Consider the following 23,135-nt stretch of genomic DNA (forward strand, 5'->3'; position numbering starts at 1 on the left):
GTCACCTGGCCTGGTGCCCCGCCTACAGCTGCCCTCTTCTGTGGGAGACATCTGCTATGCATCCACTTGCAGGAATTATCCAGAGAGAATAAAAGATGTTTCCTGCACACTCCAGAGAGAGAGGAATGGAAGGAATTAATTAATCAGGAATGTGAGAGCGTCTCCCACGTTCCTCTCCCAGCCTCCACCTCTGCTCCTCTTAGGAGGGACCGTTTCCAGCAAGACCACAACCATCCCAGTTTCGATTCAACGAGTAACTGTTCTCCAACAATTATTTTCATTGATGAGACAGCATCTGTGTGAAAGGAGCTTTGCGATTCAGGCAATAACTGGACTCATTCACCAAAAGCTCCCAGCGGCATTTTGAAGAGACCTCGACATGTCGCATCCCACATACTACAGGGAGGCCTGGGCCCTGCTGTGCCACAGCCTGGTGTGTGGGAATCCACGAGCTTCCTTTGGCCTGAATGAAAGCACAATGTCCTTCATTAGTGTGAGATAGTCTCGATGGTGAGACTATGGGTGTGGTGTGTGGTGTAGAGGGCGTATTACTTTGCTGGGGCTGCCATAACAAAGGCTAGGTAGCTCAACAGACTGGGCAGCTTCAACAACAGAAATTCACAGTCTTATAGTTTTAGAAGCTGGAAGTTCAAGATCAGGGTATTTGTAGAGTTGGTTTCTCTTGAGGCCTCTCTCCTTGGCTTGTGGGTAGTCCTCTTCTCCTTGTTTCCTCATATGGTATTTAGCCCATTAAAAAAAATTTTTTTTGAGACAGGATCTCACTCTGTCACTCAGGCTGGAGTGCAGTGGTGTGATCATAGCTCACTGCAGCCCCGACCTCTCCAGGCCCAGATGATCCTCCCATATCAGCCTCCTGAGTAGCTGAGACTACGGGTGTGTGCCCCCACACCTGGCTCACTTTTTGTGTGTGTATTTTTTATTTTTATTTTATTTTATTTGAGGCGGAGTCGCCCTCTGTTGCCCAGGCTGGAGTACAGTGGCGCAATCTCGGCTCACTGCAACCTCCGCCTCCTAAGGTTCAAGCAATTCTCCTGCCTCAGCCTCCTGAGTAGCTGGGTCTAAGGTGCATGCCACCACTCCCGGCTAGTTTTTTGATTTTTTTGTTTGTTTGTATTTTTAGTAGAGACGGGGTTTCACCATATTGGCCAGACTGGTCTCGAACTCCTGACCTCATGATCTGCCCGCCTCGGCCTCCCAAAGTGCTGGGATTACAGGTGTGAATATATAGAGACGGGGTTTCACCATGTTAACCAGGCTGGTTTCAAACTCCTGGGCTCAGGTGATCCACATGCCTCGGCCTCCCAAAGTGCTGGGATTATAGGTGTGAGCTACTGCACATGGCCTAAAATATTTTTAATTGTGGTAAAACACATGTAATGTAAAATTGACCATGTCACCTATTTGTAAGTGTGCAGTTCTGTGGCATTAACCACATGTACATTGTTGTGCAGCCATCACCACATCCACCTCCAGAACTTTTTCATCTTCCCAACTGAAGCCCTTCGCCCATTAAACACTAACTCCTCATCTCCCCTCCTCCCAGCCCTGGCAGCCACCATTCTACTTTCTGTCTGTATGATTTTGACTCCTCTAGGAACCTCATATAAGTGGAAGCATGCAGTATTTGTCCTTGTGTGACTAGTTTCTTCCACTTAGCATCATGCTTTCAAGGTTCACCCATGTTGTAGCAGGGGCCAGAACTGCCTTCCTTTTTAAGGCTGAATAGTATTCCATGGTGTGTATAGACCACATTCTCTTAATCTGGTCATCTGTCAATGGGTTACAGCTACAGCTGTTTTTGAGCTCTTATGTGCCACGTGGTTCTAATCTTCACAGCAACACGAAGAATTCTCTCCTATCTTCTCAGCTGAGCAAACCGAGGCTCAGAGGGCTTAACCCCAACTGGCCCAAGACCAGGTACATGATTGGGTCAGGATATCGACCTAGGCCTGTTTGACTCCAAAGCCCATGCCTCCAACTAAGCCATGCTGGAGGGGAGCTTGGGCTTTGTTCTGTGCGCTATGGGGAGTCAAGCAGAGAGAGGAGGGACAAATCAGGATAGGCTCAAAATCCTGATTGCAAAAGTGACCTTAGGAGAAAGACGCTTAGTAATTACAGCCCTTGTCAAGGCACAGTTTTTTGTTTCAAAGGTTGTTAACAGTTATTGTGGAAAAATCAGTACCTCTATTCTGTTGTAGCAGCTGGGTTTAAAATCTGCAGTGAGAGTTTTGGGGACAGTTTTGTTCTTAAGAACAAAGCGCCTTGGCAGGGAAATGTTAGATATTCAAATTAGTGATCTGGCCACTGAAAGATACCCAGTAACCAGGTTGGGCTGCATCCAGCCACTGGAACCACTCAATAGGTACAGAGCTGGGACTGGAGGAGAAATCACTCACAGGGGTTCCTGCCAGCCTGCCTGATACCTACTCTCTAAGGAACAAGTAGGCAAAGGCACTTCCCATCCCTGGCCCTCAGTTTCCTCATCTGCAAAAGGTTGGTTTTGGGTGGTTTTCAAACAGGTAATAGCTTCAAACTTAAGCTGATTCCAGGTCAGCAAATAAAGCCAATAACATGGAGAACAGCTCTTGGATGTATAGTGGGTGCTGGGAGTTCCTCCTTCCTGCCACCTCCTAACCCGCTCCCTCCCTGGCCAGGAGGAGGCATTTCTGACATCTCCTCCTTCTCCCTAGGAGCACTGAGGCTGTTCCAGACCCATGCAGCCTAAGGAAGACTCCTTCTGTGCTGTGGGTGCACCCGTCTCCCCCACTTATTTTTTTATTATTATTATTATTTGAGACAGAGTCTCACTGTGTCGCCCAGGCTGGAGTGCAGTGGCACAATCTCGGCTCACTACAACCTCCAGCTCCCAGGTTCAAGCGATTCTCCTGCCTCAGCCTCCCGAGTAGCTGGGATTACAGGCACCCACCACCATGCCTGGCTAATTTTTGCATTTTTAATAGAGACAGGGTTTCACCATGTTGGCCAGGCTGGTCTTGAACTCCTGACCTCAGGTGATCCATCCTCCTCGGCTTCCCAAAATGCTGGGTGAGCCACTGCGCCCAGCCCCATCTCTCCCACTTCTGGGTCATCTCTGCTGAGCACTGCAGGGTGAGGCTTAGACTAACTCCAAGTTTAGAGTCAGCTCCCATATAGCTCTTTGAACCCTTAGCCAACGTGCTGAATCTTGGCCTGGGAATCTGCCAAGTCTGCTGGAAACAAACAAGGCTTGCTTTTCTTGCCTTCTCAGAGAAGAGGTGACAGCTTTCCATGTGTATAGTGAGAAAGCATGAAGACTAGGCAGCTCTGGCAGCGAAGGCCAGTGGAATCGGCTGGGTCATTTCAGCTTAGCTGTTCCATGTTTTAATTCTGAGGATTCCCAAAGTCCTCACTTGGCCTGGGGGATACTCACACCCCATTATGCCCCCCATACCAGAACGTACCTAGGATATCCTGTGAACCCTGCTCTCTCCCACCTCACGACACTGGTCCTCTTTACTTGTCCTTAAACCGCACATGTGTATTTTTATTTCTTTGAGGAAGACTGGGTGGCAGGCACCTGTGTGTGTGTCTGGAAACATATAGCAAGCTAGAGGCAGATTTCAGGCAAAAAAAAATGCTCTTTTGGGCTGGGCGTGGTGACTCACATCTATAATCTCAGCAGACAGGTGGATCACCTGAGGTCAGGAGTTTGACACCAGCCTGGCCAACATGGTGAAACCTCGTCTCTACTAAAAATACAAAAGAGCTGGGTGTGGTGGTGCATGCCTGTAATCCCAGCTGCTCGGGAGGCTGAGGCAGGAGAATCTCTTGAACCTGGGAGATGGAGGTTGCAGTGAGCTGACATCGCAGTACTGCACTCCAGCCTGAGCAAAAAAAAAAAAAAGAAAAAGAAAAAAGAGCCCTTTTATTTAAGTATTTAACCAGAAGAGAAACTAAGGATCAGAGAGAAAATGTGGGAAAAGAAAAATTGTAGGCAGAAGGTTTTACCTGGCTGAAAATCATCCACAAATGATTTTCTTTCTCCTCAAAACATTGAGTCTCTCTCTCTTTTTTTTTTTTTCTGCTGTGTTGCCCAGGCTGGTCTCTAAGTCCTGGCGTCAAGTGATCCTCCCACCTCAGCCTCCCAAACTGCTGGGATTACAGGTGTGAGAGCTGCCATGCCAGCCTAAATGTTGAATCTTTCTTAATCTCTAGAACACAGTAGCTCCTTCAGGCCATGGGGACAGCTGGTGATTAGTTACAGAGTTTATTTTTTAGGTTTTGTTTTTGTTTTGAAATTATGAAGTAATTCATCCTTGCTATTTAAAAAAGTCCTGTGTTGTGTAAAGTAAAAAGCTGAATCGCCCTTTGCCCATCAACGAGCTACTAATAGCTACTACTAATAGTCTGGTATTTCCCAGACATTTTTTGAAATATTTAAAAACTATTTTTGAATGTTTTTAAGCAAATATATGTGTGTATGAGCACACACACATATATAATTTTTCATATAAATGGAATCATGCTGCTTTTTCATTTAATACATATTGCACAGATTTTTTTGTCAGCACATATAGATTTATCTCATTCTTTTTAATGGCTGCATGGGGTTTTGTAACAGGTAGACTATGGATTATGTAATCCTCTGTGGAGGGACATTATTTTGATTATTTTTCACAGCCGAATAATATAGTTTAAAAGAAAGTGCCACTGTTTGCTACCTTATGCACCAAGCTTTAACTATTGTTACTTTAATTTTTTTCTTTTTTTTTTTTTTTTTTGAGATGGAGTTTCGCTCTTGTTCCCCAGGCTGGAGTGCAATGGCATGATCTCAGCTCACCACAACCTCCATCTCCCGGGTTCAAGTGATTCTCCTGCCTCAGCCTCCCAAGTAGCTGGGATTACAGGCATGCACCACCACGCACGGCTAATTTTGCATTTTTAGTAGAGATGGGGTTTCTCCATGTTGGTCAGGCTGGTCTCGAACTCCCACCCTCAGGTGACTTACCTGCCTCGGCCTCCCAAAGCGCTGGGATTACAGGCATGAGCCACCACGCCCGGCTGTTACTTTAATTTTTATGCCCTTTATGGAGGAAACCCTTGGCAGGGTTATTTTCATTGTCTTAAATTGGCAGTGTTGTGTTAGGTTGTGGTGAAAAGAACCAAATATGGAGGGGTTTGGAGTCTGATGTTCTCATTTATAATCTGCCTGACCTTCAACGAGGCACTTAAGGCCCCTGACCTGAGCGTCTTCCTCTGTGAAATGGGCCTCACAGCTCAGGGCTGTTATGGACAGAAAGAGCTGGCACCATCAGCATGTGGCAGGCGGCCCCCAGTGCCCTGGGTCCCTGTAGAGCCTTCTAAGTCTTTGCTGTCCACCTCTTTCTCATCTGACCAGCCACACTGCAGAGTCAAAGGTCAACAGTTTGCTGTCTGCCCAGATTTCGGATGCTTCCAGCCACTGCCATTTTTGACCTCAGGGACAACCACCCCACTGTTTCTCTTGGCCTGTCTTGGAGAACACTGGCGCAGACTTCCAGAGGAATTGGAGTCATTTTTGTCAAGGTAGACGGAGCATGAAACAGAGTCACTGGCCCAGCCCGCTGACCAGCAGAGGCTTCACCTCCACTCCTGGATGGCATCCTTTGGCGTTACTTGTAAAGGGCAGGAGGGCTGAGTGGGGGCTTCGTGGACCTGCAATTTGGCTTCAACAGCTGCCTCCATTGTCTCACCCACAAAACAATAGCCACAGTTAAGTGCAGCCTCTCAGCAGACCTGTTCTCTACCTTGGAAAGGACACAAGAGAAGATTAAAGAGGAGAAACTCCTGGGATGGTGGAGGGGAGCTCTCCCTGTTAGGAGGGCTGAGCACAGGAGGCAATCCTGTGCCCTCCACCAATGTGGGGGCACCTCCCTGGCAAATTAGGTGACTGACAGTGCCGCCCCTACCAGCGCTGAGTGGAAAGTCTAGACAAAACTCCATCTTTTTGTGGTGCCCTGCATTTCTGGGGGCTCCTCTGACAGTGTGCTGAATACGCACATGGGAAGTAAATTGAGAGGATGAGGGAAGTCCAGGGCACCTTGGATCCTGGGACCCTCCAGACCCCCACCCTGCGGTTGGCACACCTGCTGCCTGTTGCTCCTGGGGGTGGTGCCTGGGCCCCCTGAGCCCAGGGTAATGAAGACCCTGGCCCCTTTCCCTCCTCACCCTCTCCCCTCAGCCCCCACATCAAGATACCCCCTGGAGACATGCTTTAGTGTAAGCTGGGGGCCAGAAATGGGAGGAAAATAACAGAAGATAACATTTGTCCTCTGCTTATGTGCTTAGCTGAGACCTTCTGACTCTTTTTAATCTACAAAAGGTAAGACCGTATCTTTAAATCCTACAGACCAATGACAAATTTCCTGCCTGCTCTGGATAGGGGCTTCTCCTTTTGTGTTCCCACTCCCGGGGCTGCCATAACAAAGTACCACAAGCTGTGAGTTAGAACCACAAAAGTGAATTCTCAACAGTTCTTGAGGCTAGATGTTCAAAATCAGGGTCTCGGCAGGGTTGGTCCCTTCTGGGGGCTCCCGAGAGAGAGTCCATTTCATGCCTGTCTCCCAGCCCCTGGCCGTTGCTGGCAATTCCTGGTGTTCCTCAGCTTGTAGACACATCACGCCCGTCCCTGCCTCCGTCTTCATGTGGCATCCTCCCTTCTGTGTCTCTGTATGTCTCAATTTCCCTCTTTCTCTCATAAGGACACAGGTCATTAGATCTAGGGCCCAATCTAAAGCCAAGATGATATCATTTAAAGAACCCTAATTAGATATTAATTTAAAATTTTAAAAAATCAGCCAGGTGCAGTGGCTCACACCTATAATTCCAGCACTTTGGGAGGCCAAGTGGGAGGATCACTTGGCCAGGACTTTGAGACCAGCCTGGGCAACATAGCCAGACCCCGTCTCTACAAAAATGTTTTAAAAGTTAGCCAGGCATGGTGGTGCACACATGTAATCCCAGCTCCTCAGAAGACTGAAGCGAGAGCATCACTTGAGTCCAGGAGTTTGAGGATGTAGTAAGCCATGATTGCACTACTGCACTCCAGCCTGGGCAACAGAGCAAGACCCTGTCTCTAAACGAATAATAATAATAATGGAGATAATGATATTAATATTTATTGGCATGCCTCCTGCATGTCAGGCATTGTAAGAAATGGGCATTATCTCATTTAATCCTTACAAAATCCCCATTTTACAGATGAGGAAACCGAGGCTCTAGGGAAAGAAGTTCCCCAGCTGGTAACTGTCAGTACTTGGGCTTGAAACTGTGTTTATTGGATTCTAAAGTCCATCCTTTAACTTCTGTGCGCAGGAACACAGAAGGAGGAGCCCCTCTCCAGGGCAGACAGGAAATTTGTCATTGGTCTGTAGGATTTAAAGATATAGTCTTATCTTTTGTAGATGAAAGAGAGTCGGAAGATCTCAGCTAAGTGCATAAGCAGAGGACAAATGTTATCTTCTCTCCTTTCTGGCTCCCAGCTTCATCCTATTCTTTCTGTTGCTCTGCTGCACTTTTATGTGAGTGAACAGATTTATTTACCTTTTTTCTCTCTGATTTTTTTTAAGAGACAGGGTCTCACTCTGTTGCCCAGGTTGAAGTGCAGTGGCACAATCATAACTCACTGCATTCTTGACTTCCTGGGCTCAATCAGTCCTCCTGCCTCATTCTCCCTAGTAGCTGGGACCACAGGCATGCACCACCATGCCCAGCTGATTTTTAAAATATTTTTTGTAGAGTCAGGGTCTCTACTGTTGTTCAGGCTGGTCTTGAACTCCTGGCCTCAAAGTCCTCCTGCCTGGACCTCCCGAAGTGCTGGGATTACAGGCTTGTGCCACCACACCTAGACTCTTTGATTTTCTTTACTGACTTTTTGACATCGTTTGCCCTTTAAAGGATCATTTGAGGCAAAGCCCTGTCCAGGCTTCCATGGGTTCCTTCAAACACTGAAATGCACCCCTGAGCTCATGAACAGCAGCTGTTTCTGGGATGAGGACTGCTCTCAGTAAATAAGAATGATGACCGACAGCCACACACACAGACCTGACCAGGGCTTCCATCCATGACCTAAATGTGCTTCTTCCCATGGCTATTTCTCACTGTGGCATTCATCATCATGTTGCGGAAGGCCGCCATTGGCACCATTATAATTGAATCTTACAAAACGGAGGGAACTGTCATTAACAGGCAGACATAGCTTTCATCAGAAAATCTCCAACCCTAGATCCAGCACCGCCAGATGATCAATGTCTCCATTCTTCTGTGCTGCCACTGCACAGATCCAGAGCTCTCGTGAGGAGTGATGAGCAGAACAAAAAAGAGTAACGTCTCACTGGGCATGGTGGCTCATGCCTGTAATCCCAGCACTTTGGGAGGCCGAGGCAGGCGGATCACTTCAGGTCAGAAGCTCGAGACTAGCCCGACCAACATGATGAAACCCCGTCTCTACTAAAAATACCAAAAATTAGCCGGGCGTGATAGTGGGCCCCTGTAATCCCAGCTACTTGGGAGGCTGAGGCAAGAGAATCTCTTGAACCCATCTTGGCAGTGAGCTGAGATTGCGCTACTGCACACCAGCCTGGGCAACAGAGCAAGACTCCATCTAAAAAAAATAAAAATAAAAAAAGTAACCTCTCAACGTGTGCAAGCACTGAGGACTGCAGGTCGCTGGAACGAAAGCTTTGTGGATGTGGCTTTAGGATCTTCCTGTCCTCTGACTCTATCTCAAAGGCAGCCACAGATGCTGCTGAGAACAGGATGAGTCCCCACCACTAAGGGGATCCCAGGAGAGCACATTCAAGGCTCTGCAGGATCCAAGAAAAGCAGAGTTACCCCTTGGTGGTGGGAAAGATGGAACCTCATGGAGAAGGCAGTGTTTGGGTCCGGTGTTGAAGGCCAAACTAATAGAAGTCCATGCTCTTGGTGAAGGTCACAATGTGTTAAACCAGGGAGGCCAGCGAGTAGGAGGCCCGCTCAGAAAACACATGCAGAACAGTTCAGCTGATGTTTGGGTGCGTGCAGGTGGGTGGTTAGAGGGAAGGAGAGGAGAGTCAGTTGGCATTGCCACACTTAACTCAATTCCCTCTGGTAGCACTAGTCCCTCAGCAGCAGCTGTGTTACAGAAATATTTTATTTTATTTTATTTTATTTATTTTGAGACAGAGTTTCGCTCTTTTTGCCCAGGCTGGAGTGCAATTGTGAGATCTTGGCTTACTGTGACCTCTGCCTCCCGGGTCCAAGTGATTCTCCTGCCTCAGCCTCTGAGTAGCTGGGATTATAGGCATGCACCACCATGCCCGGCTAATTTTGTATTTTTGGTAGAGACGGGGTTTTACCATATTGGCCAGGCCGGTCTCAAACTCCTGACCTCAGGTGATCTGCCTGCCTCGGCCTCCCAAAGCTCTGGGATTACAGCGTGAACCACTGCACCCGGCCAAGATTTTTATTATTTCTGAGTGGTTGCCCCTAGTGGATCTCTGCCTCCAGGACAGCTGTTTTCTCCTAAACTACGTCTGGAACAGCTTTCGGGTCCACCATCTTTCAACTTCTGGAAACGACAGCTTGAATTAAAATTGTCCTCTTATGCTCCAAAAAGCCATGAACCAGGCTACCCCCACTAGGAGAGTAGGATCCATGGATGGATCTCTTGTCACCTTCCAGCCATTCCCCTGTTCTTGGTGTCTGCTTTGCTGAAGTGCTCCTGGAGAGGGTTGGGGTAGGAAGGAGAGGGGAAGCAGGAGAGGAAGACTCCACACCCTGAGCCTCCAGTAGGAATCTCCTCCCCAGCCCTCAGCACATGACATTCAGTGACCTGGACACTTCACTTTAGTCCTCATCCAAGCCCCTCCCCCATCCTTTGGTCCACCAGGAAGGTTCTGGAGCCTATTTTGTACATTGGCATCTCTTGGTCCAGTTTGCCAGAGAAGGAGCTCAGTGTCTGTGGAGCTGATGAAGCAAGTTCAGGTCAGAGAATTCCCACCATACACAAGCCAGAGACCTGGGAACAGCCAGAGAACTGTGTGTCGACTGGGTAATTAAATGCCATACTGCTCCCAAGAACTGGAAGGACCTGGTCATTTGTCACCAGGAAGGCTATGTGTCCCAGCTCTTTAACAGTGGAAACCTTGCTGCCCTGTCTGTGGAATACAATCTATTGGCAATCTAATGGTCTGTAACAATTAAGACCCAAGTCAAAGGAGTTGATTTTGAAGTTTCTACAGCAAAAAAAAAATTGTTTAAGTTTCTTTGTAAAGATGGGGTCTCGCTAGGTTGCCCAGGCTGCTCTTAAACTCCTGGCCTCAATATAGCGAAATTTAGATGCCTGGATGGAAGAGCATTTGGTATATAGTTTTTGGCTTTTCTGCTTGGTTTCTCAGAATCCTTGGAGCCCCTCTCTTCTTACCACCAGTCAGCCTCCAACCCATTCCTCTACCAGCCCCCTCCCAAGTCCTTTCAAGAGATTATTATAAGTAGTACCTTCTCATTATAGGAATATTGAAAAACACAAAGAAAGTGGCATCTATAAACCTGCCTCCCGTGGGGAACTACAGTTAGCATCTTGTATTTTATGCTAACCTTTTTAAAAGACATGTTTTATGATGAAAATTCAAATGGATGCTATTCTGATGAAACTTGGGCTGGATGGGGCACAGGTAGGGTGCTTGTTGCTTTCAGTCAGATGAAGGAGGGGTACAGTTTCCACGATTTCTAGGGGGTCCTTCATTTTGCTTTCTTGATTGTTTTAGGGAGTGGCTGAGGCTGAACTGGAACAGAACCTGAGTCGGACTTTCAAAAGCCTCTTCAGAGCAAGCGATGAGGTGAGGGGTGGGGATGGGTGCAGAAGAACAGGAGGGGGCAGTTGTGAAGGAAGTAGGGTACCTAGTGTGTGGCAGGGACCAGGAGTAGCAATCTGGCCTCCTTTTCTTTCATTTCTATAGTCAGGGTAATTGAGGTCCTCACTCTACTGGGAAAATTTACATCCTCGTTGACACACAAGGTCAGAGAATGATTATAATAATGATGGCTTGGAAATTATGCTATTACCATTACCATTTTAACATGCATAATTGGCTTACCCAAGTACAAAATTAATTGATGTCCCCAACCCTCTTCTTGAAGCAGAGGAGTTTAGAAACCTTTAACTCTGTAAGCTGCACCCTCCTGTCTTAGGTGTTAGGAGTCATCATCACTATTGTTGTTTTATATACAGTCAGTGCCTGCTCAAACTGTCCCATATTTTCTACTTTCTTTACTGATCACTTCTTGCATCTCACTCATTTGCATTGAGTTCAGTTTCTTTCTTCCTGAAACATCCCCTTTAGTAGTTCTCTCAATAAGAGTCTGTTGGTGGTAAATTCACATTTTGGTGCCTGAAGACATCTTAATTTTAATCTTGAAGAATCATTTATCTGAGTATAGAATTTTAGGTTATTTTCTTTTAGAAACTTCTGTCATTGCTTGTGAGTCAGCCTCGGGTCTAACCTCCTATACATTAATTGTCTTAGCCAATTAATTGTCCTGGACACTGCAGTGTCTGATCTGCAGTTTAACCTGTCTTTGAAGTTTTAATTTCAATAAATAGTTTTTTTTAATTTGTGAAAGTTTTATTTGGTTCTTTTTCAAATCATTCTGATCTCTTTTGATAGAGTCTTGTTGTATTCTTATTTTTCAGTTCCTTTTATGTTTTCAATTATTTTAAGTATATTCATTTCTAATTCTCTCTTGTTTCTCTCTCTCCCTCTCGCAAACTCTGTTATTGGATGTTTTTGGGGAGTCGTATTTACTGTTTGCTACATTTTTTGCCTCTTGCTGTGGGGCCTTTTTGTGTGAGTGTGGGTTTTGTAATTTTGGTTTATAAGCTCATCTTCAGCAGTACTTAATCTGTACCCATCTGCTTCAATTGGGCTTGAGGAAATGACCCCTTGAGTGGTTAAGGATTTCTTCTGCCAGGCATCCTGGTGGCATTACCAACCCAGGCTCACTTTGTTGTTATTGTTGTTGTTGTTCTTGTTTACTTCACACCTTGAGAGTTTCCAGATCATGCAGAGAATGCAAACTCAAATCCAAGCACTTGGGAAGGCAGGCCTAGAGCTATGAATTCCCAAGGGGGTGTCTTTTGGTTTCCTCTTAGTACCAAGCTGAAACAGACAAACTCCTTTAACATCTTTATCATCATGAGGGGATTTTTTTTCTAATCAATTTTTTCACTGAGGGTATAGCATGTCAGAGACCCCAGATTTACTGGATTTACCATGGAGGAGCATGGAATATCACATCTTCAACTTCTCATCATAGGCCAAGGTCTCTTTTCTTGTTCCCATTGGCTGATAAACCTAGGTCTTCATATTACCAAGGTCTGCAAGGGCCCTGGGGCAGTCTCAGCCCAGAGCTTTGGTCGTGAGCCCGCTCTTTACTTGACTTCTGTGAGGGGGTCCCTGGCTCTCTTGGGAGTTCCACATGTTTGTTACAGTCTGCGTGGTACTCAGAGGTCATTTGTCATAACAGGGTTTTCAGATGAGCATATTTCCTTTGTCATTTGTCGTAACAGGGTTTTCAGATGAGCATATTTCCTTTGTATCACCCATGACATCATTTGTAACTCTTTTCTTTTCTTCCTTCAGAGTGTTTTATCCATGCATAAAGTCTGTGAAGCGGGTAAGAGACATGCTTGGGAGAGCCATATCTGGAACCAGCTGAATGTTAAAGGGATGTTTCTGTCTCTGACTGCTATGGGCAGAAGCCCTGAGCTCTCCAGCTCTGAACTTTAAGTTGCCCAACCAGGGTCCCCTCGGCATGCATAGGGCTGACTCTAACCCCAGGCCTGAGCACACAGCCTGGAGTTCCTACCCTCTAGGGAGCTGTGGCTTCAAGATCTTAAGCAGTAAGAGCTTGGAGGAGTCTTAGAGCTTGTCCAGGGCAAAATCCACCCTCTACTGATAAGGACCCCAGGATTGAGAGCTTACCTCTATGGGGGTCACCTCGTGTATGCAGGTGGAGTGGAGTGGGGCCCCTGCCCAGGTCTCCTCCATTGCAGTCCACTGGCCCCTCTCCATCCAGGCGCCATGTTTCCAATTCCCCCACCTGGAGCTCATCCTTGTCTCCCTCCTGGGTTGGGTATGAGTGAAGGGTCAGAGTTGAGATTTGATTTGAGCTCATCCCCATGGCCCCTAGATCCAGCACTCTTCCCACAAGACCTTATTTTTGCTGCAGCACTGTGGCCTTGACAGCATTCACTTGTATTTTTATGAATAATGATGACCACTGTCACTTGTTTGGGCACGTGCTGACCATCTGTATAAAACTCTGGACTAACCCCCTTTAGATAAAATATTTGTGATCCTCGAAGCATTCTGAAAAATGCTACTATTTTTAATTTCCAAAGAGGAAAACAGGTCTCAGAGGGTTAAGTAACTTGTCCGAAGTGGCTGAGCTGGGGTTAAACTCCTCTGACCCTGCAGGCCATGCTCTTGTCACTGCTCAAAGAACATCTTCCTTCCCTCCCCCACACCCACATTCCCTTATTCCTTCACACCGTCTGTCACTCATTCATTCACCCATTCATTCATTCCTCAAATGCTGTGAGCACAGGCTGGGTATGAAGCTGGGGCTGCATGCTCAGCTACCCAGACACACGAAGCAGGGTGGCCACCCTCAGTGAGCCCACAGTCTCACGGGAGGCAGAGCAGCTGGGATGCTCGCAGAGGGGCCCTGAGGTACAGTGAGTCTGGAGCACCCGCCTGGTGGGGAGGCTCAGGGTGGCTTCATCACAGGGTGACATCCTCATCACATACCCCTTTGATGTGTCTCACAAAAGCCTGGAATGACCAGTTCCTGTGCCTCCGGGTCTTCGTGAATCTGAAAATGCCGACGGGCCCTGTTCAGGCACCAGCATTGAGGCTGTGCCCTGTGAAATTGCAGTGGTCCCTGGGCTGCCAGGGGTCATCACAGGCCATCCTCTGGAGGGACTGTGCAGCACCCTGAAGACAAGAGAGGGGTCCACAGTGGGATACCACAGAGGGTCTGTGCGGCACGTGGGAGGTGACAGGATGCAGCCACCTGGCCTGGGTTCTCTTCCTGCCTTAGAGGAAAAACGGAGCAAATCCTTATGAAAATTCCAAGAATCTCTGGCGATATCTCCAAAGGGCCACAGTTAAGCTGGCTGGGAAAGGTTTAGACGAGGGGAGAGCAGGAGCTGGGGGCTGGCAGGGTCTGGGATATAGCTGCTGTGTGCCTGAAAAAGCCGGCAACTGTGGTTGGTCCAGGAGCTGTGATAATAGCCCGTGAAGTCGTGGCTAGGTGGGAGGGAACATCAGGCTCCAGTGTGACCGTGAGATCACAGCTTTGAGCTTTCGAGGAGATGGGATCACTCTGGCAAAGGATAAGGGAACAAAAGATGGAGGCACTCATAAGGCCTTGCGCAAGTTCAGATGGTCTGCGAGAGGCAATGAGGTCCCCACCTTAAAATGCAGACACCTGGCCCGGGGATGGGAAAGTCAACAAGTGGCTTTTTTTGCAGGAGGACTTTTTGTAAATAGCCCAGAAGAGCCCAGCCTCAGCAGGATGGTCACTGAGGAGGAAATCCAGTTCTATGTGCAGCAGTTCAAGAAGTCTGGTTTCAGGTAAAGAGAGCACAGGGCCCAGACACAGATGAGAGATGATCGACAGATAGGGATCTTCAGCCCTCAGGGTGGAGGGTGAGGCCCAGTTCTCCTCCACCACAGCCCTCGTTAGTGCCAGGCCAGCCTCTGCTTCAATGCCTCCAGTGTCGGGAGGCTCACTACTTTATGGTGCTCAGCCTGCTCTAGTTTGGGATAGCTCAGCTTGTTCTTCCTTATGCTTATGGGGCCCCCATAGGGCAGAGGGTTTTCACTACTTTTTAGTCATGGCTCCTCAGAGAATCAGATGGCAACTCTGGGCTCTTTCTTCAGAAAAACATAAAAATCCACATAAACTCAAAAAGTGCATACATTTTGGTGCATTTGCCCTACTTCCTGATGTCATATTAGGAGGGGGCATCTTTGCTCCACCTCCCAATGTCCCTCTCAAGTGGGCTCCCTGGGGCAGGCGAGTGGCCTCTGGATGGTGAGGCTGCTAAACCAAGTTCCCCACCATCAGCAACCTCCCCAGCCTCCAAGGTGACACGATGACATTCCCTGGAGGGTCCTGTAGGGCCGGCTTCTTTGTGTCCCAAAAGCCAACCTAGAGGCTGCCAGTTCACTCAGTGGAGTCCTGTGTCCTTGCACAAGGCCTTGCTGCTAGAGCTTGGCAACTGCGCCCGACAGCAAGGCGTGGGTCCTGGGCTCTATTCTCTTGCCCCTGCAGGAGGCTTTGCTCTTCCCAGGACGACTGGCTGTGCAGAGCAGGTTTCTGCTGGTGTCTGTAGCAGAGCCGTCTACTTACTGCCTCCCTCTTTTTACTTTCTGATCTCTCCCCAGAGGTCCTCTAAACTGGTACCGAAACATGGAAAGGAACTGGAAGTGGGCTTGCAAAAGCTTGGGACGGAAGGTGAGTGCCAGGTTCAGTGTAGTCTCATCCACACCCCAGGACCCGCCCGCGGGGCTTCCCATTGGCCTGAGCTGATATGACCTGGGCCAGAGCTGGTTGTGGACAGATCTGCTGGCCACCTCCTTTCCCTTTGGGGTTTGGGAAGTGACTCCCTTCAGGGGTTTCCCTAGGATCTTTCTTGCTGGTGCTTCTCTTGGGATGGTAGAGGGTGACCTTGGGGATGGAGCTGGGGTGTGTCCAGGGAACTGCAGCATCCATCCGGAATCCCCAGGTCCCCTGGTGGTACCCCAAGGCAGGGCTGCAGATGGCCTGGGGCACCTCCCAGAAGTGACATGGATACTGGAGCCCCCAGCCCAGAGGAGCGTTAGGTGCTCTCAGAGATGTGACTTTAGCCTTCGGTTGTGTCACCTTGCACAAGTCAATCTCTGAGTCTCAGTTTCCTCATTTGTCAAGCAGAAGATGAGTTTCCAATCTCTGGGTCTGCAGAAGGAGTAATGGAGGTTCCCAGTTTACATTCAAAATGTTTAAAAATCTAAGGGAAATCTGTTCCCCAGTGTGACTGCACAGGTAGCTAGGCCTTCATCAGCTCACTCAGTAGCCATGGTTACCTTGTTGGTTCACTCTGTAAGTGAACACACTGCTACATGCCAGACTTCCTGCCAGACCCTGGGATACCATGGTGTGTAAACAGACCAGGTCTTGACCTCCCAAAATTAAGTCTTGAGGCACTAGAGTATATAACATCGTGGTTAAGAGCAGGCTAGGAAGCACATGGGCTGAGTCTAATCCCTGTGTGACCCTGGGAAAGGTACTTAACCCCTCTGATCCACTGTGGCTTCTTCTGCAATATGCAAGTGGCAAGAACAGTGCCTCCCTCACAGAGCTGTGTAAGGATGAAATGGTTGAAGGCATGTGACCTGTTACAAGCAGTACTGGGAACCTATTAGCTCCATTAGTGTTCCTTGTCATTATCATCATATGACCGATGAAAATGACCAAACTGCAGTTGGACAGACAAAATCTCTCAAAGCGTGGAGGAAAATATTGACAAAGGCGCTGGGAAGGTGAATCCCAATGGTGCTAAGGTCAGAAACCCTCCTCTTCTGCAGTTTATTTTTTGAGACAGTCTTGCTCAGTTGCCCAGGCTAGAATGCAATGGCACGATCTCGGTTCACTGCAACCTCTGCCCCCTGGGTTCAAGCAATTCTCCTGCCTCAGCCTCCCAAGCAGCTGGAATTACAGGAGTGCGCCACCACACCCAGCGAATTTTTTGTGTTTTAGTAGAGATGGGGCTTCACCATGTTGCGCAGGGTGGTCTCAAACTCCTGAGCTCAGGCGATCCACCCACCTCGGCCTCCCAAAGTGCTGGGATGACAGGCGTGAGCCACTGCACCCAGCCTCTCTTCTGCAGTTTCCAGCTGGATCTTCCTCTCTCCTCCCCCACCTCCTCCCATCCCATCCTCTCCCCCCCCCGCCCCCCGCCCAGTTCACATTTTAGCTTGGAACTTTCTAGAGTTTACAAACCTCATAGAAGCCTCAGGATTCGTTTTAGCCACAAAATCATTTTTGACCTTCTCCTGGCTCCTGGTTGTGGGAGGAGGGAGGGGTGTGGAGAGATGCCCATCACTCTGGGTGTAAATGAAAATAGTGCACGTTCCTCAACCAGGGATGGGTCAAAGCTGCTTGGAAATTAGGGTAATGGTGGAGCGAGAACAAAGGAAAAAACACAGAGGCTTTCCTGGCCTTCCTGTGCATGCCTCCCTGTGTTCAACTCATTTGCCAGCAATTGGAAGTTACTTTGCTGCCATTCATGTCACATTGATTACTACTGTGGCTGCCCCCATTTTCTCTGGAACCTTGGTCGCCCCTTTTAAGCATCTATTTAATTCAGGGAAGAGGAATCTTGATCTTCATTCAAGGGTGTCTTCTGCCTTCTTGGTGCCATCAATTCGGTTCTCCCAGTTACATGCAGCTCAGCACACGTTCTCACTCACACACATCTGCACACATAAGACCCATATTGGCCTCTGCACTGCTGAAGCTGTTATTTTAAAGATCTCCAGTAATAACCACGAGTCTGTTGTGCAAAGTTCGGCAGATACAACGTCAGGACCACAGCAGGGTGGCGAGCAGGGGTCTTTCAGAGGAGGAGGGAGGGCTTCCTTTGTGGAGTGCTGGCCACTTCTGTTTCCTGTTCTCCCCCCAGATCCTGATTCCGGCCCTGATGGTCACGGCGGAGAAGGACTTCGTGCTCGTTCCTCAGATGTCCCAGCACATGGAGGACTGGGTGAGGGAATGGCCCTGTACAAGGGTCATCAGTGCACCCCGGGAGAGGGCACGGGTGCTCAGAGGGAAGACGGCAGCAGAAGATACACCTTGTCATGTGGATAGGACCATGGTTGAAGCACATCATCAGTAACATCACTGTCCCCCCATTGCAAGCAGCAACCGTGACTGTACCTTCCTTTCCCCTGCATGGATGTGGGGTCTCATTCATTCATTATTCCCTTCCTAAATCATGCAGGGTTTGGGCAGGGTGGCCTGCGGGGAGCAGAGAGAAGGCGTCCATTGCCCATTGCACTAGCTAGAGACACACCCATCTGCCTTCTTCCATTTACCTTTCTGCCTGGGGTTTCCTTTCAGATTCCCCACCTGAAAAGGGGACACATTGAGGACTGTGGGCACTGGACACAGATGGACAAGTAAGGAGGTTGGGGGCTCCTGGGGTCGGGGAGAGCAGGGCCCCCCGTTCACCTTCCATAAAAGCTTTCCTGGTTTCATTGTGCTGGCTTTGGCCTGGCTTAGCCACTCATGTCACTCACCTCTGCCTTCGAGTTGGCTGGGTAGGTGCAGACAAGTGTGAATGGCTATTTTTTTCTTTTACTTCTCCCTTTCCCCCAGGCCAACCGAGGTGAATCAGATCCTCATTAAGTGGCTGGATTCTGATGCCCGGAACCCACCGGTGGTCTCAAAGATGTAGAACGCAGCGTGTGCCCACGCTCAGCAGGTGTGCCATCCTTCCACCTGCTGGGGCACCATTCTTAGTATACAGAGGTGGCCTTACACACATCTTGCATGGATGGCAGCATTGTTCTGAAGGGGTTTGCAGAAAAAAAAGATTTTCTTTACATAAAGTGAATCAAATTTGACATTATTTTAGATCCCAGAGAAATCAGGTGTGATTAGTTCTCCAGGCATGAATGCATCGTCCCTTTATCTGTAAGAACCCTTAGTGTCCTGTAGGGGGACAGAATGGGGTGGCCAGGTGGTGATTTCTCTTTGACCAATGCATAGTTTGGCAGAAAAATCAGCCGTTCATTTAGAAGAATCTTAGCAGAGATTGGGATGCCTTACTCAATAAAGCTAAGATGACTATGCTGCTGGCTGTCTTTGTTCTTGGAGAGGTGGAGTGACTGTTCACGGAGAATGCACGGCATGGGGATGAACCCTTTCCCTCTGCTTTTGAGCCCTGTTCTGGGCTCCAAGGTGCTGTATGATCTAGGCCGTGCTGGCCAGGAGACAATCCTATGGGGATGGCAGTGGTGTCTTGTGCTCTGTCCCCTAGAGCAGTCACTGGCCACAGGTAGCCACCTGCCTTTCTCCCGGCTTCCCTAGCAGAGTTTGCTCAGGCACAAATGTGCACCTGGAGCATTTGAAATGTGCTAGTGAGGCTGAGGAAGAGAATTTTAAATTTCATTGAATTGTAATCAGTTTAAAGTTAAATAGCAGCAGCTGCCATGAGGCTCAGGCAGATCCAGCTCATCTTCCCCTCTGCCCCCTCCTCCCTATCTTCCCCTCTACCCTCTCCTGCCTCCTGTCACATCCGGTTAGGCTCCCATCTCACTGATGTGTCTCCTGCAGTGGTCTCTCCCCTGCCCTGCTTCCAGCCCCAGAGTCCTGGAGCAGCAGCCTCCTCACGGGTCTTGCCGCCCACATGGTTGGATCCTGAAACTCGCAGGGCCTCCCCCAACTGCCCCTGCCCACCCCCAGCCCGGCCCCATCACCCTCCAATTCCTAACCGCCCTCCAGCAGCACACTTGCAGGTGCTGATCCTCCTTGACCCTCTGCCTAACTTACCCATTCTTTGCCTGGAATATTCCTCCTGCCACCTCCTCCAAGCCCATAGGCTGGGTTCCGAGCCCTTTCTGCCTGCCCCCCTTGCATGGTTATCGGGCTCACAGATGCACGCACAATGGCCTCGCTGCTTGCGAGAGAAAGTGGTCCCTCCAAGCTGAGTTTGGCATGATGACGGGCATGAGTTGGCCAGGTCACAAGAGCCTGAGTATCTGTGTATAGGGAGAAAGCCAGGAGAGGTTTGAAATGGAGGCTGCTGGCATTTCTTCACTGCCCTAGTGCACCTGGAGTCTTCCATGCACCACCTCTGATCCTTCCAGAGAGTCCTTCCCATTTAACCGAGAGGGAAACTGAGGTTCAGATAATTTGCCCAGGACTGCTTGGCTAGATGGGGGCAGAGCCTGGATTCAGAAGCAGGCTTTCTGGCTCCTAAGGCTGAGCTTTTTCTACAAAAAAATGTTCTCGTCGCGCCACTGCACTCCAGCCTGGGCAACAGATTGAGACTCCGACTCAAAAAAAAAAAAAAAAAGAGAAGTTCTCCTTTCTAAATCTGGAGCCAGACCACCTAGGTTAGGCCTCCGGTCAGCTGCATACTCGCCTTGTGACCTTGAAAAAGGATATCTGTGCCCCAGTTCCCTCATCTATAAAAAAGGGGACGTTAGTAGGACCTAACTCATGGGTGGTTGTATCAAGTATGTTAATAATATGCACAGAGTTCTAGAACAGTGCTTGGCATGGAGGAAGTGCTATGGAAGTATCAGCTATAAGATTTCCAGTTTGTCTTAGGACAAGACCTCTAAGGGCTTTCCATTTCCAGCCATGCCACCACCATCTCAATCTTTTGCATCTGAGAATTAAAGGGCTAATTTAAAGGCAATCATGAGGACTGGGGGAAAGGCTTACACCAGATCACATTATTTTCCTAACTGGGTGTATTCAAGCTCATTTGTAAGGGAGCAGTTGGGGGAAAGGAAATAATCAAAACCTAAAAGCGTCCTTTACTGGAAGGAGCACAAACAGCAAACCTGTCTTCCCGAAAGTCTCGCTTTTAATATTCTATCCAGTCATCTCCATCAGCCATCAAAAAGGCCTCAGAAATTCTGCTCCTTTGGCAAGTAAGAGTTGAATAACTCCATTCCATAGCATTGCCAGAAAATATAACTGGTTATACAAGATTGAGGGCTGTATCGGTCTGTTCTCCCATTGCCATAACGAACTACTGGAGACTGGCTACTTTATAAAGAAAAGAGGTTTAATTGGCTCACGGTTCTGCAGGCTTTACAGAAAGCATGGCTGGGGAGGCTCCAGAAAACTTACAATCATGGCAGACGGTGAAGGGGAAGCAGGCACATCCTACGTGTCTAGAACAGGAGGGAGAGAGAAAGAGAAGGGGGAGGTGCTACACACTTTTATAAACAACCAGATCTCATGGGAACTCACCATCACGAGAACAGCAAGGGGGAAATCCGCCCCCAAGATCCAGTCACTGCCCACCAGGCCCCACTTCCAACATCGTGGATTACAATTTGACGTGAGATTTGGGTGGGGACAGAAATCCAAACCGTATCAAGGGCCATAAAGGACAGTGGACTGGAAGAGGTCTTTAGGTTTTTCAAGAAGATAGTGGAATGTCCAGGGCTATGTTTCCTGGTCTGCTTTGAGGACCTTTGGGCCACACGTCAACTGTTGCAGTGGTGGTATCAGGGCATTCCCTGGAACAATCAGGGAAGATTTTCAGATGCCATTTTAAGTACAAATGGCAAGGAGTGTGTTCAAAATGATTTAATTATAAAATGCTATATTTTGGGATTGAATTTAATTTGTAATTAACATACTAGTACATATTCATGGGGTACATAGTGATGTTTTGATACATATAATGTGTAGCAATCAGATCAGGGTAATTACACATGTCATCTCAAACATTTATCGTTTTTGTATTGAGGACATTTAATAACCTCCTTCTGGCTATTTAAAACAATGTATCATTGTTGACTGTAGTCATTGCTCAGTGCTATACAACGCTAGAACTTACTCCTCCCATCTAGCTGGAATTTGACATTCCTTAAATCCCTCCCTATCCCCCACCTCTTCCCCAACCCTTCCCAGCCTCCTATCCTCCATTCTACTTTTTACTTCTAGGAAATGAATTTTTTTTTAGCTTCTGCATGTGAGTGAGAACATGTGGTGTTTCACTTTCTGTTTCTGGCTTATTTCACTTAACAGAATGCTCTCCATTTCCATCCGCGTTGCTGCGAGAGACAAGATTTCATTCTTTTTTTGTGGCTGAATAGTAAAAATATGTTATTTTTATTTCATGATTACAAAGGGAATAGATTACAAGTATATTCCCCTCTGCTAAAAGAAATCGGCCCTTAAAAAAGAGGTCCAGCAGTCTTCATATTCTCTCTCACACCCTCCAGCAGTGGGTTGTGCTGCTCCCGGGAGGAGGCTGAGATCACTCACATATTCTGTCAAGGAAGGACCACTTAGTGGCTGTCAATTAGCAACATCCAAGGTTTCCAGGAGACCCGTCTTCTAAAAAGTGAGTCTATTAGACTAGACAGGACAAAAAGCTATTTCTGTCTGTCTTGGGGTATAGGGAACCCACGGTTTTAGACCTTGACATGACTGTCCACCAGTTTCCGTGTCGTTCACAGCCACATTACCATCAATACAAATTAAAAGCAAACAATGGTTAAAATATCTAGGTCAGAGGCTCAAAGGGTTTTTTTCCAACAGGAATTGGGTGACAAATATTATGCCTCACTGTTCAAAGGACTCCATCTGGCCACAAATGATAAAATACTTTCTTGCCTGAGCAATTGTAAAGTGTCAACTCCTGCACCCAAATGTGTAACTGTCTGTCTCCCTGTTAGACTGTGAGGGCCCTGAGATCGGGGGCTGCCTGTCTAAGTAATTCGTCCTGAAACCCAACCCAGCACTGGCCTGGCATATGTAAAATGCTCATTAGACGTTTGCTGAATAAATTGGAGAGTATATGCACAAATGGATGAATGGACAAATGCATTAGTTTCAAGTTAAAATAATTAAAATTTGATCGGGCATGGTGGCTCACATCTGTAATCCCAGCAATTTGGGAGGCCGAGGCGGGCGGATCACCTGAGGTCAGGGGTTCAAGACCAGCCCAGCTAATATGGCAAAACCCCATCTCTACTACAAATACAAAATTAGCTAGGTGTGGTGGTGGGCACCTGTAATCTCTGCTACTTGGGAGGCTGAGGCAGAAGAATCGCTTGAACCCAGAGGCGGAGGTTGCAGTGAACCAAGATCATGCCATTGCACTCCAGCCTGGGCGACAAGAGGGAAATTCCATCTCTATAAATAAATAAATAGCCTAATGTCCTCGAGGTTCATTCATGTTGTCGCATGTGTTGGAATTTTCTTTCTTTTTAAGGCCAAATAATATTCCATTGTATGTATAGACCACGTTTTGTTTACCTACTCATTCAGCAATGGGCACTTGGATGGCTTCCATATTTTGGCTATTATGAATA

General features: G+C 48.0%; 1 protein-coding gene across 13 annotated transcripts in view, besides 1 other annotated feature; it reads left to right on the forward strand.

Moving 5' to 3' along the window:
• EPHX2 (epoxide hydrolase 2) overlaps positions 1-22,627 on the forward strand; it is a 57,484-nt gene extending 34,857 nt beyond the window's left edge. For 4 of the 13 annotated variants that reach the window (NR_182232.1, NR_182233.1, NM_001414019.1 and 1 more), the window contains 7 exons: positions 10,785-10,856; positions 12,660-12,693; positions 14,555-14,657; positions 15,474-15,543; positions 17,750-17,830; positions 18,187-18,245; positions 18,445-18,920. Coding sequence is in view for 10 of the 13 variants with exons in the window: in NM_001414019.1 (NP_001400948.1) it covers positions 10,785-10,856; positions 12,660-12,693; positions 14,555-14,657; positions 15,474-15,543; positions 17,750-17,830; positions 18,187-18,245; positions 18,445-18,523 (498 nt within the window). In the remaining 3 variants the exon portion in view is untranslated. Of the gene's footprint in view, positions 1-72; positions 771-10,784; positions 10,857-12,659; positions 12,694-14,554; positions 14,658-15,473; positions 15,544-17,749; positions 19,566-21,843 lie in introns of those variants that run through there. The other 9 variants (NM_001979.6, NM_001256484.2, NM_001256482.2 and 6 more) reach the window with 6 other exon arrangements.
• Positions 1,779-1,979: a silencer, noted in NCBI's record as "peak6969 fragment used in MPRA reporter construct". NCBI's record gives its function as "represses an SCP1 promoter by STARR-seq MPRAs in K562 erythroleukemia cells {active_cell/tissue: K562}" and the evidence as "EXISTENCE:reporter gene assay evidence [ECO:0000049][PMID:32103011]".
• Positions 22,628-23,135: the final 508 nt, after the last annotated feature.

Source organism: Homo sapiens, chromosome 8 (assembly GCF_000001405.40).
Source record: "Homo sapiens chromosome 8, GRCh38.p14 Primary Assembly".
Classification (NCBI taxonomy): domain Eukaryota; kingdom Metazoa; phylum Chordata; class Mammalia; order Primates; family Hominidae; genus Homo; species Homo sapiens.